General features: G+C 45.1%; 1 protein-coding gene and 1 long non-coding RNA gene across 4 annotated transcripts in view, besides 1 other annotated feature; one reads left to right on the top strand and one right to left on the bottom strand.

Annotated features, from left to right (window-relative positions):
* Nucleotides 1–20,111, bottom strand: part of TRIM67 (tripartite motif containing 67) — a 59,508-nt gene that overhangs the window by 33,074 nt on the left and 6,323 nt on the right. The gene's annotated exons all lie outside the window — the stretch shown is intronic.
* Nucleotides 865–4,394, top strand: TRIM67-AS1 (TRIM67 antisense RNA 1). Its single transcript, NR_166514.1, has 3 exons — nucleotides 865–975; nucleotides 2,319–2,416; nucleotides 3,256–4,394. It is a non-coding gene; the product is annotated as a TRIM67 antisense RNA 1 (long non-coding RNA).
* Nucleotides 4,149–4,677: an enhancer, noted in NCBI's record as "NANOG hESC enhancer chr1:231319561-231320089 (GRCh37/hg19 assembly coordinates)". NCBI's record gives its function as "activates a minimal SCP1, AML or CMV promoter by ChIP-STARR-seq in naive H9 embryonic stem cells {active_cell/tissue: H9 hESC(naive)}" and the evidence as "EXISTENCE:reporter gene assay evidence [ECO:0000049][PMID:30033119]".

The raw sequence follows: 20,111 nt of genomic DNA, 5'->3' as shown, positions 1-20,111 counted from the left end.
TGAGACCACCCACCATCTTCCAGCTGCATCTTTATTCTCCAGGGGACCCTTGTCCCTGGCATTCTGTGTGCTTGGGCAGGGTTGCCTGTCTGCCAATGATGGTTTCATCAGACCCAAGCTCCACTCTCCAGCTCATTAGGATTTCAAATGTGCAGCTGTGTAGGAAGCCTCCACAGCCACTTTGCGAATGTTGATAAAGCAACGTTGCCATCAGTCTGGGCTTTGTCCCTGCACTGCAGGGGACACATGTGGGAGGATGACACTGACCACCACCTCCTCCTGCTCCTGTCCCACACAGAGCAAGGTGTCTGGGGGAGGCAGAAGCAACCAAGACTGCCTTGAATAGCAATATGGTGCCATGTAACACGGGTCCCAGTGTGATGGAGGGGTGGAAGGGATTATGTGGACACAGTCATAGATCACGCTCTCACAAAGATGTCTCTGTGAGAGTGGGAGAGCATGGGAAGCAAAAATGGATTGGCAGGGCAGGGAAGTGCAGGCAGCTCTCCTCTGGGAGAGAACACGAAAGAACAGGACTTGCTTTTCTCTAGGAAGGGAGATCCCATAGATTCACTCCTGTCACTTCCCATCAGCCAAGCTTTCATCTTAGGCGTCTGGAGTGCTGAGCTACTTTCTTGTTCCCACAGCCTAACCAAGCATCTGCCTGCCTGGGTCTCTCTCCAGAAGCACTACAGCAGCTCCTTTGTGCCTGGCGTGGATCAGAGAGAGCTTGCCCGCTGTCCCTCTGGCTACCCAGCCACGTGGCTTCCTTCTGCCCGCCTTTCCCACCCCGCCTCTCCCACTCCGCCTCCTGCAGTTTGATGCCCCACTTGGGAGACAGTAGAGATGGGGCGTGTATTAAAACAGGAATCGAAGCTTCACTGAGAGTTTCACACCATCATTGGGCACAAAGGAGGTTGTGAAATGGACCACAGGGGATTTCTCTCACCTTTTTATCTGCCCCTCAGTGCTAAGGTATTGTTTTTTTTTTTTAACCTGTGGCTGATAATAATGCCTAATAAGTTAAAAATGCCCTCATCTGTTGGCAGAACAGTAGAAATAAATGAGAAATGTAAATGACTCATTTTTTAAAAAAATTAAAAGGTAGAGGCTCCTGGGTAAGCAGAGAAATTGACTTCTAAGCACCACCTGAGGGAGGCACGGATACCACTGAGGCACACTCCTCCGCCAGGCAGATGATCTCCTTCTCCTTTTATCCCGAAATCCTACTCCCCACTTGGGGAGCCTGGGGCCAACAGAGGCAGGTCTTTTCCCTGCATCTTCTTTCTTGCCCCTTGTTGCTTAAATGTGGCTATTTTCCTTCATCTTCTTAAACGCTGTCTTCCCAGGTGAAATATAAAGAGGGATCCAACAACACAGCTACGACTTCCTGGTCACACCATTGCCTGGGAAGCTTTCAGCTTTCTGTTTTTAGACTTAGATTGATCTCCTGGTCGAGATCCATATGCTTGTGAGATGGGCATCCTCATTAGCCTTGCTGATGAGGCAGCCGTGGATGTCGTGGGATGTGCGGGTAAAGCAGTCCCCTTCCTCTAGCAGGAAGATGAAAGCTGCCCAGACAGCCTGAGAAGCACCTTCCCATCATCCAAGCTTTCATTTTAGGCCTCTGGGGTGCTGGGCTGGGGAAGGCTGCCTGGCATTTTCAAATGGTTGGAGATACTGCTCAATGCAAGCCTGTATCCTGGACCAGCCTCAGGGGAAGGGCGACGGACTGAATTGTGTCCCCCAAAATTTAGACATTGAAGTCCTAACCCCCAGCACCTCAGAATGTGACTGTACTTGAAGAGATGATTCAGTTAGAATGAGGTCATTAGGGTGGGCCCTAATCCAGCAGGACTGGTGTCCTTATGAAGAGGGGAGATTTGGACATAGAGACAGACAGGTGCTAGGGAAAGCACCACGTGAAGATTGGAGTTATGCTGCCAAGGATCTACAAGGAGCTGGGAGAGAGGCCGGAGCAGGTCCTTCCCAGAGCCCTCAGGGGCAGCATAGCCCTGCCGACACCCTGATTTCAGTCTTCTGGCTTCCAGAACAGTGAGACGATATATTTCTGTGGTTCTAAGCCACCCAGTTTGTGGTACTTTGCTCTGGCAACCCTAGCAAAGAATACAGAGGGACTAAAAGGAGGTCCACGGATGCGCTGCTGAAACCAGGAATCCAGGTCAGGCCCGATTTGTCCTGTTCCAACTAGAGATGTGCTCCTCCTTCAGGAAGAAATCCTGCTTTTGCCAGAATGTACTCTTGTCTCTCCTTCTGGCCCTTTGGGCTCAAGAGTTCCACTGCTGTGATTCATGCAGAACAAAGAGGGAGCGCCTCAGCCTGGCTGTCAAGCCCTTCATCCATTCACCGATGTATTCATTCAGCAAGCGACTGCCAGCCGCCTATCAGGAGAGAGGTGAGTTCTGCTCACGGGGAACATCCCCTTCTTTTTCCCTGGGAAAATCTGCAACCCAAGCACCTATCTTCCAGAAGACCCACCTCCTTCTCGTCTCCTCTAGTTATGAGCCCTTGTCCCGGCTGTCACGGCCGTTTATCACACTCATCTCCAGTCCTAGCTCAGCTTGCCCACGTCCAACTCAAATCCTCCTTTTCCACGAAGTCTTCCCCCCAGACTCCATGAACTTTGTGGTTCATCTCTGTTCTGCCATCACCTCTCGCTTACCTCCGACTGTGGCCCTCGCCATCATCTGTCTGAGGTCTTAGTTACTTATCTACTTGACCGTGTCCCTCACTAGATCAGGACTTCCAGAGTGAGCCGTTCAATCATCTTTGTGTCCCTAGTACAGAGCCTGTGCAGAACGGGCACTCAACAGTGTCTTCTGAATTCACTGATTTCGTGCTGTGTGCTCTGGGGAGCTGCAAAAGGGCAGGACGCGTCTGGGCTCCCCTAGGCAAAGGTCCCAGTGCTGCAGCCCAAGGCATCCTCTGTGTCTCCTACTAGGGATCCCACTTCTCACTCTCGATGTGGCCTCCCCTCGCTGCCTGTTCATCCCGGCTCACTCCCTGGTCCTGCACTGGGGGCTGGAACACAGACTTCCTGGGGGTCCCGCCGTGGTGGGAGCTCCTGGGTTCCACTTGTTTGGGTTGTTTTAGATTCTTCCCCACTTCAGATGAGGAAAACAAGAGCCATTCTCCCTTCTGACTTTCCTTCCTTTTCTTTTCTCAGATCCCTCCAGTGTAGGAGGGTGGGAGGGAGAGCTGGTCCAGGGGTGAGGGGAGACTCCTTTCTCACAGGGAGTTTTCAGATAAAGGCTCTGGGAATCCTGAGAAGGGTGGAAGGTGCAGGAATGGACGCCGTGGAGTACAGGCTGGCTGGCTGGACAACACACACTTCCCATTGAGCCAGCAACTCGGATTTAGGAGCCAGCAGATGGTGACCGAAGTGCCCTGCTCTCTGGAAGTCCAGGCACCAGCTCAGCTCCACACTAGCCTAGGCCCTGCAAGCAGAATAAGCTGACCCTCCCCAACCTGCCGGCCACCCATTCAGGAGCACTGCTGGGTGTTTATCCAGCAACCCTTAGAGCTGGGCTTCAGGGTTGGGCCCTGAATTCAAACCCTAATTTTACGTGACCTAGTTTCTTGCCCTCTGTGAGACTTCGTGTCCTCACGTGTGAATTGGGGTGATGATACCCACCCCAAAGGCCTGCCTCAAGGTTTAATGATGGTGTGCATGGAAGGCCCTGGGTTCAGGGACTGGCACTCTACTCATGGTGGTTCTCGGTAGAATGAGAACCCCAGAGAGAGCTTCCCCGACAGCTGCAGGGACCATTGTTTTTCTGCTGTTGACCTTCCATTATCCTCTATAACAGTATCCCAATTTTGCTTTGAGAAGTTGCCTTTTCTCCACTGAGCACAGCCTGGTAGGGCTGGAATTAGGACTCCAGTACCACTGCCTTCACCCTGACAAGGGGTAGGCACATGCCTGTGTGAACCCTGAGAGAGCCAGCCCTTCGAGATGGATCCTGAGGGGCTATCCGGGTCTGAATTCTGAGTGGCGCTGAAAGCCATTTGCCTACTGCAGGTTCCCTACATGCCCTGTGCAAGCCGAACAGTAGCTCAATGTTGGGGCCTTCTTAGCTGTCTGTTCCTGCTCACACTGCCAGAATCAACTGCTGCCGACGTCCTCATTCTACCACCTGAACCTGACCAATGAAATGTGACCCGTGGTCAACTTTAACATCAGCAAATCAGAACTGAACAAGCTTGCATCCCTCAGATGCAATGGGAACTGGGATTAGAATCTAAGCAGAAACTTTTTCTATGCAGGATAGCCCTTCTCTTTGTTCTGGCAGACGTGCCTTTGTTTTATACTGAAGGCTGAGTCTCCCCAGTTGGCAAACTGCTGGTTGGAATAAAGACTCTTTTTAAAAACATTCCTTTTCAGTGGATTCGTTAACACCCTATTCGAGGCCAGCAGGATGATAACTCCTTGGAATTCAAAACTGAACAAAGAGACAAAGAGACCTGGAGAGATGGGTGTTTGTTCCATAGTTCCTTGAGCAGATCCCTGCTATCAGAGCATTCCTGTATATGCTGCTTCTTCACACTTGGGGAAGCCTTGGGAGCCAGAATGCCTGGGTTTGAATCCCAGCTCACTGACCCTGTGACATTAGGTGAGTCACTTACTCTCCCTGCCCTCATTTTCCTCAAATGCAAAAGGCGGGTAATAGCAGTAAGTGCCTAACAGCTATAGTGAGGATTAGGTGAGTTAATAACTGTAAAATGCACCTGGCACATATTCAATGCTATCTACGTGCTCCCTGTTGTTACAGTTTCAAACCTGGCTCTCAAAGTTCGTATTGATTCTGTGAGTGCTCAAGAAAAAAGCAATATTTTTTGCTTTTTGTTGGGAGGGAGGGATGGGGGTCTCATTTTGTTGTCCAGTCTGGATTGCAGTGGTGCCATCATGAAGCACTGCAGGCTTAAACACCTGAGCTCAAGTGATCCTCCCTGCCTCAGCCTCCCAAGTAACTAGGATGTTGGGCACGTGCCACCATGCCCAAGTAATTTTTATATTTTGTTATTTTTACTTTTTGTAGAGATGAGGTTTTGCTGTGTTGCCCAGGTTGGTCTCAAATTCCTGGCCTCAAGTGATCCTCTTGCCTCAACCTCCCAAAGCACTGAGATTACAGGTGTGAGCCACTCTGCCTGGCCTATTTTTCTGATAATTTCCTTTTGATTCAAGTTAGCCAGAGTTGGATTCCTTTGCTCAGAGCAAAGGACTCTAGCAGATTTAGTGGTTAGGATGCCCAACAAATGCAAAGACAGCTATGCTATAATTAGTGATTCATGCTGAGCCTTGGTATAGTCCATGCTTGTGGAGATGGTGATGATGAGAGGTCTCTTCTTTATCCCTTCCACAACTCAGCTTCAGACTCTGACTCCCAAAATCCTGACTGCTTAGGAGTTCCCCACGAGCTCCTGCCCCAAGGCTTGCAGGGAGGAGCAACCTATCTTGTTAACAGTGAATTTTAAGTTGCCAGGATTGATATGTCAGAGCCACCAACCAAATTTTCTTAGCTAGAACTTAATGCTGAAGTCAAAATAAAAAGAGGCAGGACTGATGGGCAGTACTGCCAGAAACTGACTTCCAGTCATTAGCTATATCCGCAGGCACACGGGGGCTTCTTCCTCTGACAAGGCAGTCAGTGAGGGCCAAATGACCTTCAAAAGCTCACGTGTGCAGGAGCCAACCCCAGAGTAATTGGGAAATCCATGCCTCCCCTTGGACTTGGGCTTGTCAGTTCCTGCTGAAGTGGGCAGACAGTGGCAGAGCCGGTACCCACCCTCAAGATGCAAGCCACCTTCACATGACCTGCCAAGGAGCTGTGTGCCTCTGTGCCTGTGCCCTTGCCATTCATCTGCTGGATGTGCCCTTTCCCATGGCTGCACCGGTGCCCCACGGTCATCCAAACCTCAGCTCAAGTGTCCCTTCCTTATGCTGGATTGTGCAACCTCCCCCTTCAAGTCCTGTTGAGATGTCCCTTTTCTGGGTCCCTGTGCCAACGAGATGTGGATCTCTTTCTGTTCTACTGTAATCGTGTATTTACTATTTTTTTTTTAAATTTGTTTTTTAGGACAGGGTCTCATTGTGTTTCCCAGGCTGGTTTAAAACTCCTGGCCTCAGGCGATCCTCCCACCTTATCCTCCTGGACAGCTGAGAACATTTCCTTCTTCCTTCACTAAATTGTGCCATCTTGGGAGATGAGACCTTGCTTGTTTCATCTTTGCGTGGGCTACCAGTGTATGTCCCATAAATATTTGTTGAATAAGTGAATTAGTTTTTAATCGGGCAAGATGACAGGGAAGTTTCTAAAATGAACCAAGGATCAGAAGCAAGGACCAGAGCTCCACTTTAGCTTTGCACCTGATATGAAATATTATATTAGAACAGTCACACGATTTCACTTCTTACACTTTGGGGTAACCTACTAGAGCAAGGCCCTCATTTGTCACTGGCCATGTGAAGATATGAGGATAACATGCTGCGGAAGTATGCTAAATATCCCAAACCATCCCTTTAAAACAGGCTCCAGAAGTGCTAGGCTTATGTTTCTACTATTTTGAATTATAGCAGAAGAAATAGATTTTAAGCCAAATCAAACTATCCAGAAAAAAGGTTCAGAATAGAGAAAAGAAGTTCAAAGGAAAAGCAGGTTGTCAGTAAAACAGTGTTTATTCACTCTGGATAGTGGGCCCTATTCCAGGAGTTGAATGTATGGTGGGAATGTCTACCTCTCTACAGCTCAGGGAGTCAAGCAAAAAAAGCCACGAAAAAAAATCAAGTCTAAAAAGAAGTCTAAATATGGACCTAGTAGAGGACACTGCTAGATTTTTAAAGTTTTTTTCTTTTTTCTCATTTTTCTGTGACCAAAGGAAAGAATAGAAACATTTTGGCCAATGACCAGGGCAAGGCTCAGAAGAGAGAGGAAAGATAGTGAAATGGTGAGAGAATGGTTGTATCAGACAGCTTAAGCTAGTGACGCTGCAGTAACAAACACCACCCCCCAACTTGGAAGCTTCCAACCACAAACGTTCACTTCTTGCTGACACTGAGTGCCCATTGCAGGTCACCTGCAGCTCTATTTCCCGTCCTCTGCATTTCAGGATTCAGGCTGAAGGAGCTTCTCATTTGAGGCATAGTAGACTCATAGCAGAGGAAAAGGAGCTACAGCCCAAACACACCCTTGCTCTTAAGACTTCTCCTGGCCAGGTGCAGTGGCTCACGCCTGTAATCCCAGCACTTTGGGAGGCCGAAGAGGGTGGATCACGATGTCAAGACATCGAGACCATCCTGGCCAACGTGGTAAAACCTCATCTTTACTAAAAATATAAAAATTAGCTGGACATGGCGGTGCATGCCTGTAGTCCCAGCTACTTGGGAGGCTGAGGCAGGAGAATCGCACGAACCTGGGAGGCAGAGGTTGCAGTGAGCTGAGATCGCACCACTGTACTCTAGCCTGGCGACAGAGCGAGACTCCATCACAAACAAACAAACAAACAAACAAACAAAAAAACCTTCTCCTGAGAGGTGGCACTATCCATCCCACTCACATTTCATTGACCCAAGCAAGTTAGAGGGCCCAGCCTTAGAGTGATAGGACAAGAAGTATATTCTCCCAGAGGGACAGCAGAAAACATTTGAACAAATGATAAAATCTAGCAAACATGGCCTCCGCATTCAGACAGACCTTGGCTTTACTTACTAGCCCTGTGCTCTGGGGCCAGTTCTTACTCTCCTACAGAGTGCAGATGTTAGGGATTTTATTGCCTACCTCTAAGTTGTGGCAATTAAAAATAAATAACATATTAACACATGCGACTTTTTTCTTCCTTCCCTTGATTCATCCAACTCCTCCTCCACCATCACCCCCTTCCTCCATGCTCCAGGCTGCCATCTTCAATGCAATAGATTTGGCAGGAGCATCCAGATATGACTTAGGGTAGAACAGTATCTGAAGGGGGGTGCAGGAGAGGGAGACTAGCACGCTGGGAGGGAGGTAAGAATGAAGTTGTTCTTAAAGACAGTATCCTGGCTTCATATGTTTACCGAGAGGTAAGAAATCAATCCATAGAGTGTTTTTTCTTAATTAGAGACTTTTTATAGAACTTTATCTTAAAGAGATAATAAGATAAGCATGCAAAGATGTATATACAAGAATGGTCACTGCATCTAAGAAAATAGTGAAATTTGTGAACAGCCTAAATATTCAGAAATAGTGATTAATACAAATGATGCAATATCCACATAACTGAATACTCAGCACCCATTAAAATGCCAATGTATTTCTATATTTGTTGACACATAGGATAAACTCTAAGATAGATTATTCAGTGGAAAGCAAAGCTCTTTCCCTCAAACACCTCAGGACATTTAAGCATTAGGGCAATGTCCTGCTGCAATGATAACACTTCTCATTATAACCCTGGATGGGTCACATTTTCAATACACTTACTTTTGGTGACTGTCACAAAGGCACAGGAGAAAGTTGAGAGGATGAAAAGACTCCCTTTGAAACCTGCCATCTCTCCTCCATCCCTTCTCCTACTCTTTGCCCAGTCTGCAGGACCCTACCCAGTGCCCTCTAATCAGCACCACACTGCCCCTCCCCTACCTTAAACCGTCCTTCTCCCCAACTCACACCTGGAATCTAAAATTCCCCACTTTTCTGCTAGCTTCAGAGGAGCACAATCTGGCTGAATATGTTCACAGAGTATGAGGAAACAATGGGCTTAACCTACTTGAGTTAGTAACTTTCAATTTTCTTTCAATTGCCAGCTCTCTTCTTGTTTCGTTGTTGCACCCAAACCCATTTATGCCTAGTGTTCCATTATTGGAATGCTAAGCTTGTGGGAGTTATTCATATCCTACTGTTCAAGGTCATCACCAAGGTCTGATTGCAAAAATTCAAAAAATTGCAACCTCAGGCATAAATGGGTTAACGACCACTGTGACATTAACCAACTAATTAATGTTTTCGTGTGTTATAGGCTGAAATGTGTCCCACAAAAAGTCACATTTGGGGTTGAAATCCTAACCCCTAACCGGACCTCAGAATGCTTTCTTGTTTGCCAATAGGGCCATTACAGATGTAATTGGTTAAGGTGGGGGTCACACTGGAGTAGAATGGGCTCTAATCCATTATGACTGGTGTCCTTACAAAGAAGAGACATTTGAACACATACATGCATGCACAGAGGGAGAATGCCATGTGAGATTAGACTTCTGCTGCCACAAGCCAAGGAGCCACCACAAGCTGGGACAGGGCCCTGGGGCAGGTCCTTCCTGGTCCCTTCAGAGGGAACACCGCCCTGCCGACACCTTGATTTTGGACTTCCAGCCTCCAGAACTGTGAGACAAGAAATGTCTGTTGTTTTAAGCTACCCAGCTTGTGGTAATTTGTGATGGAAGCCTTAACAAACAAATACATTATGTACAGCTTTACCTCCTAATACATACCCTTACATATATATTCACAGAAAATCATATTGCATATACTCTTTCTCCACATCATAAAAATGGGTGTTGGGCTCTCTAGGACACAAGGGAAGCAGGCCAAATTTCTCATATTTTCAGGAATAAACTGAGTGCCCCGAAGGTGTAATAGGAACCTTTTACTAACCTCATCTGACTTCATCCTCACACCAGCATTTTGTGTGTAAGGAAACTGGCCGAGAGTGGTTAAGAAACATATCCAAAGACGTATAGTTCCAAATGGAACACGGATCTTTTTATTTAAATTCCAATCATCTTTCCATTATATCAGCCAATGATGGAGCAGAAAGCTGGTCCAGGCAATCCCAGAATAGATCTTTCTAGGCACCCGTTCAGTGTGAGGAGGGGAAGTGGCCTTGCCAAGGGGCCAGTGAGCTCAATTAGGTTAAACGCTGCTTCTTAGCCCTACCCCAAGAGGACACCGTCACTAAGATTGTTTTGTGCCCAGCCTTGGACAGGAAAGCAATTCCCTCCTTTCACAGCATTCTCAGCCTTGACGTTCAATAATAATCGTGATGATAATAGTGGCTTTCTTTTATTGAACACGCACATGTGGTGTACACTGTTAATTCCTTAAAATGCATGATCTCATTTAATATGCCGTCAGTCCATGGCAAAAGGAGGAGTTTTAGGATTGTTGGCTTGCAACTGGCTTTCTTATTCCCCGTATTCTCCTGCCTCTATAGCACCAATGATTTTAGTAATGTCAGTCTAGTAAACTTACACTCAGAGTGTTCTCTCAAAAGTTGAAGCAGTGCTAACATCTGGGAAAAGTCATGCCAACATTTCCCAGCCAGCTTTTTTCATGTCACAAGCTCAGCTGACTGTTTCTCACATGATTACCACACATAAGGAGGGAGGAGAGAGCCATGCTAATGAGCATGGATGGCTCTTTTCAATATGGGGCCCTGGAAAATGCATAATTCCTCCTCTTCTCATTTTCCATACTGTCCCCAGGAATGACCCTTCCTTTATGAATCATTCTATTCTATGATTCAACAAATAGTTCATAGGGACTGCTCTGAAATCATACTTTATGGCATGGATATTAGAATACATTTTAGTGTTAAGTCCTATTCATTTATTAAATAGATGTTTCTTGTGCTTGACTGGGTGTCAGATGCTCTGATGGGTACTGGGATTACAAAGATAAATAATACATAGTCCTTGTTCTCAAAGTGTTCAAAATATAGTGTTATTTATGCATATGATGTATAAAGCTGGTCTTAAAAAGAAAGAGATCCTGTAAGTTTCTGTTAGCTGCAAGACACATTGATGGGTGTAAAAGTCTAATCAAGATGGGATTTTATTTTTAAAGCTGTCTGGAGTTATTAGTAAAAATGCCCATGGAGACTGTAAGAATATCCCATTTGGCAGGAAAGTATAATTGGGCACAGCAAGTCTCACTTCCGTGAAGAAAGGCTAGAGACCAGAGAGTAATCAGCTCATGCTCTGATAACACCAAGAACAAGCCTGGGATGGGATGTCTGATGCATGAAGCCCCAGGACCAGACTTCTGACTTTGCCAATGTATCAAGACCATTTGCTGAGCCAAGCCAGGGGAGGTTCTCATCGCCCGGCAACCAAACTGCTTCTTTAGCATCAGGTCAGCTCCGGTCTCTTGTAACAACAATAGAATTAGTTCTGTGACAATAGGTGTCTGATGAGAATTTGTCTTAGAGCTTTCTCTCTGTCGTCAAATTATGCACCCCCTACCCCATCCTTCCAATCCTTTGAAACCCAACTCAACTCCCATCTCTCTAGTCTCTGCTCCGTGCTCATTCATACCTAAGGATGGTTCCACATATTTTAGCACCAATTATTTGTGCTCTGGTGTTGTTCTTGATTTCTTGTGCATAAGTGGTGAGATGAGCCCTCCTGTCCATTTAAATGACCAAAATCAGCCTTCTTTTAAAGTAAGTCCATATCCCTGCCCTTTTCCTCCTGGGAATCTCTTATGTTACGGTTTCCTCACTTCTTTTGTTTTTACCCCTTTCTCCCCATCTCTAGCCCCTTAACTTAGCTGAGCAAATTGAGATGTTTGAAAGGTGTTTTTTTTTTTTTTTTTGCCAGATTGTATTGGCAAACAGGGTAAAATGACTGAAATTTACAAGAAAATTCAAAAAGATTATAGCCTGGCTATTCCTGTTCTTCACTGAAATTTAAATGAGGCTAAAGTTTAATCCTTCTTTGCCTGTCAAGTTAGATGTCCCCTTAAATTTGGCTTCTGAATCTATTTATCCCATCCTTTTCCCCCATTGTCTCCAGATCCAGTATGTTAGCTCAGATACTCAAAGGATTGGTAGTCTGAGTTCCTTCATTTTTATTAGACATGGCATCATATTCATCAATGTTTCTCTGCTTTGTGTAAATATGGATGAATCCCTGGCACTCTACCAGCAGATAATCAACTGGCTGTTTGAACAGGAACTATATTTTAAACATCTTCTTTAATGCCTCATGCAATGATGTACAGCTAAGTTTTTCTTTCTTTCCTGAATAATGAACCTACTCACCATCCGTGACCCCAGCTCAAGCATCATCTTATCTTCAGTTTCCCCACTTACCACTCTTTCCCTCTTCCCCTTCCTAATCTCTGGGGGAAATTCACTGCCTTCTCTTCACTCTTCCTCCATCTGTTTATTCACATTACAAGGAGGGCACTTATTCCACTTTTCATATCAGGCGCATATACATCAGGTTGGCTGTACAATGGTCTCCTGCAGCAGGCTGTGAGCTGTCTTGTGGCCTGTTTTAAGTGTGTCTGCAGCACAGCCCATGGATTACAGGAGGCACTCAAAGAATTCTTAACCAGTGGATTGTTTTGACTGGATAATATGGAAAGCCACAAGATGACATTTCTCCTTCACATCCTGGAAGGGACACAGATGGACTCAGGAATGAAAGCCACCTTAATTGAACAGCTTTAACTGGGAAACTTTAGCTGGGTCCCACATTCCACCCTCCCATGACACCCAGCAAACCCCAAAGATGCAAGAAGCCTGACAGATGACAATACAGATCCTCCTTGCTTTGCCCAGATGCCCTGAGACCTGTGGCCCCCAATTGAAAGAAGATATTTTGCAAACCAGAGGAGCCTCGGGAAGTTACCCACAATGCACATGAGGCCCAAATGGCAGGAATCACTCAAGGATCTATTTGAATTTTCACTTAATTCTCCTGGTGGAAGATAATTTTCCATGGGTTTCTGGTGTTTCTCCACATCTTGTAAGTGAGGCACTGACTGCTCTTTGTTCTGGGCTATGTTTCTAAGGATGAGGACAGCCTTGGAAGATAGAGACGGTATCTCCCTTCGGAGCAATGGGCTGCTGTTTACTGCCCTTTGTAAAAAGATTGGGGTTCGCTAAGCTCAAGGCTCCTCTCCTGTAATGCAGCCGGCTGCGTGTGCGGGTGTCATGATCTAGCCCTCTTCACATCCCCTTATGGGAACTGGCCCAATATGTGGATGTTCTGGCTCCTGCTGTTGCTGTGAGTAATAAACTGTTCTCCATCTCTGAATTAGGAGTCTAATGTCTTCTGACTGCACCCACGAAACTCTGGCAGGCTAATTTGTTGGCTTGTAAGTAGGCTAAAAACTCAGACCTCTCACACTTCCTGAGATCCCCCTGCAGGGTCTTCCTGCCTTTGGTGTGCCCTGATGTCCCCTTCTGTGCATCTTCATATTCCCAGTAGGTTACAGGTGTAGAACCCTGCTGGGGAGACAGTACTGTGTGCAGGACAAACACTCATCACTGATAGCTGCAGATAGTTCAGTGAAGGAAACCAATGTGAGAGGTAAAACTCACGCCCTCCCAGCAACCTGATGGTGTGTGGTGACATTCACATGAAACTTGAAATATGATGAATGGCTGCACTGTCTGCACCAGGCAAAGTTCTCTTTATTGTGTGGGACTGGCAGGGAGCAGTAGCATGGCTGCAGGACCAAGAAGATCTCTGTTTCTTGATCCAAACATTTCCAAGCAGCATTCAGTTTTTCTAGCAGTGACTGCAGCACTGCTCACAACTAGGGGACTATCTTAATGAGACTTTCCAGAAGATCCTAGCTCTCTTTGGTTGTATTCAAGTAGACTACTTATTTTGTTTATTTATGCATTTATTAGTTTCAAAAAGGGCATAAGGCAGTTTGCAAGGGTTTATAAATTTCAAGAAAGCATAACTTAAAAAGAAAGAAAAACAACCTCCCAGAGCACAGCAAAGACCTCTAGTAGCTGAGGGAAGGGAAATGAAAAAACTCTTTCTTCCTGGGTAAGATAGAGAAAAGAGACACAGGCCCATAGCATTAGACGGGACAGACTGTTGGGGAAAGGGCAGGACATCTGAGAAAATGCAGAGTGGAGACAGAGAAGGGAGAGGGAGAGGGGCTAATCACTAGACTTGCCACAGCCTAAAAAATAACCAGTGAAATGGAAGTCAATAGAAGTTACCCCAACTGTAACACAAAGAAACAAAAAAAGTGATTAAAGAAAAAAGACTAAAAGTAAAATAAAAGGCTGGACATGGTGGCTTATGCCTATAATCCCAACACTTTGGGTGGCTAAGGTAGGAGACATTTGAGGCCAGGAGATTGAGACCAGCCTAGGCAACATAGCAAAATGCAACCTCTACAAAAAAAAAAAAAAATTAGCAAATTTGCTAGGCATGATGGCATGTGCCTCTAGTCCTAGCTACTTGGAAGGCTGAGGCAGGAGGATTGTTTGAACCTAGGAGTTCAAGGTTGCAGTGAACTATGATTGTGCCACTGCACTACAGCCTGGGAAACACAATGAGACCCTGTCTCTAAATAGAAAAAAAAAAAAAAAAAGAAAATAAGACAAAAGAAAAAAGAAGAGATCATCCAAGAACTGTGTGACAATAGCAAGCAATCTAATATATGTGTTATTGGAATTCTGGAAGGATGAGAGAGAGAAAGAGAAAGAGAGAGGATAGAGAAGGAGAATTTTCTGAAGAGATAGTACATAAAAATTTTCCAAAAATAATAGAAGACACCAAACCAAAAGTCCAAGAAGCTCAGAGAACCCCCAGCAGGATATGAATGCATAAGCCTCTCTCCATTTCTGCTGCCTCTCTCCTAATTCAAGTCCCCATATTTATGGCCCAAACTGCTGCAACAGCTTCTAATTACACATCCTGCCTCCACTCTTGTCCCCCTACTATCCATTTTCCAAACCACCGTCAGAGAGCTCTTTTAGAAAAGAAACATCACACCCCAGCTTAAATCCTTCTGATGGTTACCCATAGCACTTACTATTAAATTCAACCTGTTCTGCATGGCCCGCCAGGCCCTGTACACTTCTGCCTCTCTGCCTAGCTCTCTGCTTCTGCCCCTTATTCATCTGTTTCATTATGCCCCAAGCACACTGGCCCATTTCTGTCGTTTAAACACACCAGGCGTCACCTGCCCCTGGTTCTTGGCCCTTGTCTTCTCTGTGAAATGTGCTGCCTTCAGAATCCTGCAAGGCTGGTTCTTTCCCATCCAGTCTTCAAGTCTTAGCTTGAATACATCCTCCTCAGTGATTGTTTTTCAACTTTTCTGCCAAAGAGGTCTGCCTAAGTACTATTGGTATTTTAAAATACAGACAAGGTCTCGTTATGTTACCCTGGCTGGTTTTGAACCCCTGGCCTCAAGAAATCCACCTGCCTCAGCCTCCCAAATTGTTAGGATTATAGGCATGGGACACTGTGTCTGGCCCTGCCTAAGTATTTTTTATCACATTGTTTTTATTTCCATCTTGGTATTTATCACTATCCAGCTTATTTATTTGTTCATTTACTTGTCAATTTTCTTTCTCTTGTGACTAGATTTATGTTCTTTGAGGAAAGAAAATTCCATCGGTGGTCTCAGTGTTTAGAACTGTGTCTGATATGATATATAGGCATTCAAGATGTCCTCATTGACTGAATGAGTAATTAGGTGAATTGAAAGAGAAATAATCATTAGCAGCATCAGCTCAGAAAAAGGCTGTAATGGTCAAGAGACAGCATCAGTATTTACGTTATAGTAAGTGTTAGAGATGACTTTTAGTTGTGGGTACACAGCTCAGCTGATAGGTAAAGCCAACCATAAGGCAACAAATAATTTATCGAGTGAGAGAAAGTCTCATCTCTTCATTTTAGGAGGCTTGTTGTTTCTGAGTATTCATAGTTCACTGGTTTCCTGGTTTTATAGATATCATCCAGAATCAAACTATAAGGATTGAGAGATTGAGTAAATACAAGTATGTGTCTAAATTTCCTAACACAACCTTGACCTAATTTTTTACAACTATGCACCGTCTGGACAGATTTTTTTAGATGTCATGTGACTAAGGCCCAGCCTCTCCTTCTGGAGTGAGTGCTGGCAGGTGTCCACATCCTGTCTGATACGTCTGTCACTGAGGCCTCATCCACACTCCTGGTTCCCAGAACCCAGCTCACCTTGCCCTGTCCTTGTGAATCCTTTCACACCCTCTCTCTCCTCCACACCACATCTCCTTTCTGTAGCCACTGTAGCCATATGTAAAATAGAGAGGGAACGCTAGTGATCTCTCTCACATCCCTTCTGGCCCCCAAACTCTTGCCTTATTCGTCCCAAACAGGACATTGAAGCTCCCCCATCCCGTCCCCACCTTCGATTCCCTTTTCCTGCTGCCCCATTCCAGTTGAATGAGAGGTTGTGCTCCATCTCTGTTCCCCCCACTTTTAAAAATAGCTGTCAGCTAATGCTTTATTTCTTCTATGCATAACTACTCCTCAGCTGATGCCATAGGCATCTGTTTTTGTTCAAATATACATATAGCATTCTGTTGCATTTTTACAGTTATTCAAAATGTACAGTGAGGAGCAATAAAGGGGGCCGTTTTTGTTGGTTTGTTGGTTTGTTTGTTTTTAGAGTTGGGGTCTTGCTCTGTTGCCCAGGCTAGAGTGCAGCGCTGCAATCATAGCACACCACAGCCTGGGCTCAAGCATTCCCTCTGCCTCAGCCTCTTGAGTAGCTGGGACTACAGGCACGTGTCACCATCCTTGGCTAAATGCTTTTATTTTTTATAGAGAAGCAGTCTCTCTCTGTTGGCTAGCCTAGTCTCAAACTCTTGGCCTCAAGCAATTCGCCCGCCTCTGCCTTCCAAAGTGCTGGGATCACAGGCATCAACCACCATGCCCAGACTTGTTTTTTTGCAAAATCATTTCACAACTTGCTGTACAAGTTTAGCAAACCCCTTCTTCTCAAGTTTCCTCATCTGCAAAATGAAGAGGTTGCGACTCATAATCTCTGTTAGAAAACAGCAGACCCTAGAAAATAAACATTTTGAAACCCTCAGTTTCACATCAAGAACTTCACAAAAGGAAATTCCAAACTTGGAGGAAGGAATTTGCTAAAGCCCCCTCCCAATGTCTGTCTGGATTCTCTGCTATTCCTGAGGTTCCCTTGTTATGATTGTCATAACCTCCACCACTACCTGGGCAGCACCCCCACCGAAAATGGCTAAAGAGTGGATAAAGCATTCTCTTTGCTGATTTAGAGAACAACTAAGACCCAAACTAATATGAAACCCAAGGTACAAACAGCTAAGTAGGTTTATTTTAAATCCCAGGAAAGCAGCAGAAAGCATTTCTCCAGAATTTCTTTCTCCTCAGGCCCCTCTGCTCTAACTCAAGAAGACTCATACAGATTTGCAGACACTTCCCACCCCTTAGAGATTCCTGCCCATCTCTGGGCCAGGTGGTCTTTGAGCACCATATGGTTTCCCAGTACCCAGAGTTTGTGTAACCTAAAGATCCTGACTGGTGCCCAGGGTAACTAAATAAGACACTAGTTCAAAGCTCTCAGGCCCCCTAGAGGAGACACATCCACTTCTCAGATGACTTTCAGTGAAAGTCATGGGCCTAGCACCCTGGAGCTCTAAAAGCAGTCCCATTAGGGCATTTCAAAGTTTAATGTACATGCAAATCACCTAGAATCTTGCTAAAACACAAATCATGAGTCAGCAGAACTGTTTGAGATTAAAAATTCTGCATTTTCAGTGAGCTCCCAGGTTGATGCTGATGCTGCAGGGTGGAGGCCCACACTTAGATTGCGACCAACAAGGCTGCAATCTAAAGGAGAGCAAATTATTTTCTATGAAGGGCCAGATAGTAAATACTTTCAGTTTTACAGACCACATCATCTCTGTTGCAACCACTCAACTCTTCCAAAAGCAAACATGGCCAAAAGCAACCATTAGCAATAGTAAATAAATGAGTGTGGCCGTGTTTCAATAAAATTTTATTTACAAAAACAGGGAGTGGGCCACAGTTTGCTGACCCTTTCCCTGGTCTGTTTCAGGAATTAAGAGATTCCTCCCATCTAGAACACTCTATATTGTTGATTTCTACATGTAAGCTCCATCACCATGAATGTCTACTGGCATAAAAGCCCTTCCATTGCAGGCTAAAAATATAACAATACCTTAACGACACAGTGACCACCACAGCAAACATTATGAAATATATTCATGAATAGTGACAGGAGGATTGTTCATTCACAGCCTTTGAGGTTGTCTTCAACTTTTAATTTCTTATATTTCTCTATATAAATAGTCTTCAAAGAGAAGATAAAGCAACTCAAGTTTCTGGATTCTTGCCTTCTTTTCTCAAACCCATTTTTTGTTTCCTAGATGTGTGTGACAAGGAAAGCATATTAAAAAGAAAAAAAGACTGGGCACGGTGGCTCACATCTGTAATCCCAGCACTTTGGGAGGCAGAGGTGGGCGGATCACCTGAGGTTGGGAGTTTGAGACCAGCTTGACCAACACGGGGAAACCCCATCTCTACTAAAAATAAAAAATTAGCTGGGCATGGTGGTACATGCCTGTAATCCCAGCTACTCAGGAGGCTGAAGCAGGAGAATCTCTTGAACCCAGGAGGCGGAGGTTGCAGTGAGCCGAGATTGCACCACTGCACTCCAGCCTGGGCAACAAGAGTGAAACTCCAACTCAAAAAAAAAAGAGAGAAAGAAAAAAACATTTTAAAGGTGTAACATAAAGGTCCCTGAATTACCAACCTACTTGGAATTAAATCTAAGCATAGGGTAGGGCTACAGCAAAGGTGGCTTGAAGACAGTGGTGATGTTGGCACAGAGATGGTGTGAAGTGCTGCAGCCTCTAGTTAGGGGAGTCAGCTCATCTTCCCAGGGCTCTGAGCAGATTTGCCATTGGTTCTTAGCCAGTCTGGGGCAGATAGGAGAGAAGCCAGCCTAGGCACTTCTTTTCCCAGAACTTTAGAGTTGGTAAAAGATTCAACTTCTCAAAAATTTAGTCTTCGGGCGGGTGTGGTGTCACATGCCTGTAATCCCAGCACTTTGGGAGGCCGAGGCAGGTGGATCACCTGGGGTCAGGAGATTGAGACCAGCCTGACCAACATGGAGAAACCCTGTCTCTACTAAAAATACAAAAATTGGCCAGGCGTGGTGGTGCATGCCTGTAATTTCAGCTACTTGGAGGCTGAGGCAGGAGAATCACTTGAACCCAGGAGGCAGAGGTTGCAGTGAACTGACATGGTGCACCACTGAACTCCAGTCTGGGTTATAAGAGCAGAAACGTTGTCTCAAAAAAAAAAAAAAAAAAAAAAAAAGAGAAAAGAATCGAAGGCTGGTGCAGTGGCTCACACCTGTAATCCCAACAGTTTGGGAGGCCAAGGCGGACAGATCACTTGAGGTCTGGGGTTCAAGACCAGCCTGGCCAACATGGCAAAACCCTGTCTCTACTAAAAATACAAAAAATTAGCTGGGTGTGGTGGCACATGCCTGTAATCCCAGCTACTCGGGAGGCTGAGGCAGAATCACTTGAACCCCAGAGGCGGAGGTTGCAGTGAGCTGAGTAGCGCCATTGCACTCCACCCTGGGTAATAGAGCAAGACTCTATCTCAACAAATAAAAATAAAAAAAAATATCTAGGGCTTCCACTCAGAATGAGAATGAGCATATTTCCATGCCACATGCTCTGAGAGCCCCGGCGGACTCTTCTCAGTTTGGACTCCAAACACTCTGCTTAAAGTTGGCAGCAAGTGTACAATCATCAGCCATAGAGTTGTAGACTTCAGGCCCCCTGGAAAGTTTTTACGAAACACTTCTCCCTACCTAACTCTTTTTGCCCATCCAACCCTACCCAAAAATGCCTTAGGTGGGCCCCCAAGGCCTTGTCTTTTCACAGACCTTAAAATCCAAGAGGTCATAGTGAGCAATATCTGTACATGTTAAATCAATTGTTGAGGGAAGATCCCTAACTAGTAGTTAAAAATATGAAAATCTAGATACATGTCATCTTCTTTTTAAAAATAGTTATAACAATAATGTAATGAAAATAGCAAACAATAATTACTAGAAAGAAGACAATCCACCTTATCATTTCTCCCTGTGGTCTTTATCCACGTGAATTTTTAATTGTTTACATAATTTTGTTATTAAAAAAGAAAGTAGGTGTCATCTTTATGAAAGGTAATTTGGAAACAGTAATTATCTTAAAATCAGGTATCTTTGACATAGCAATTCCATATCTAGAAATGTAACCTGAGGAGATAATTAAAAGTGTAGGCATAGACTTAACAAGCGAAATGTTTGTAA

The sequence above is a fragment of the Homo sapiens genome, chromosome 1 (assembly GCF_000001405.40).
Source record: "Homo sapiens chromosome 1, GRCh38.p14 Primary Assembly".
In the NCBI taxonomy this organism is placed as follows: domain Eukaryota; kingdom Metazoa; phylum Chordata; class Mammalia; order Primates; family Hominidae; genus Homo; species Homo sapiens.
This window is presented reverse-complemented; position numbering and strand designations above follow the sequence as displayed.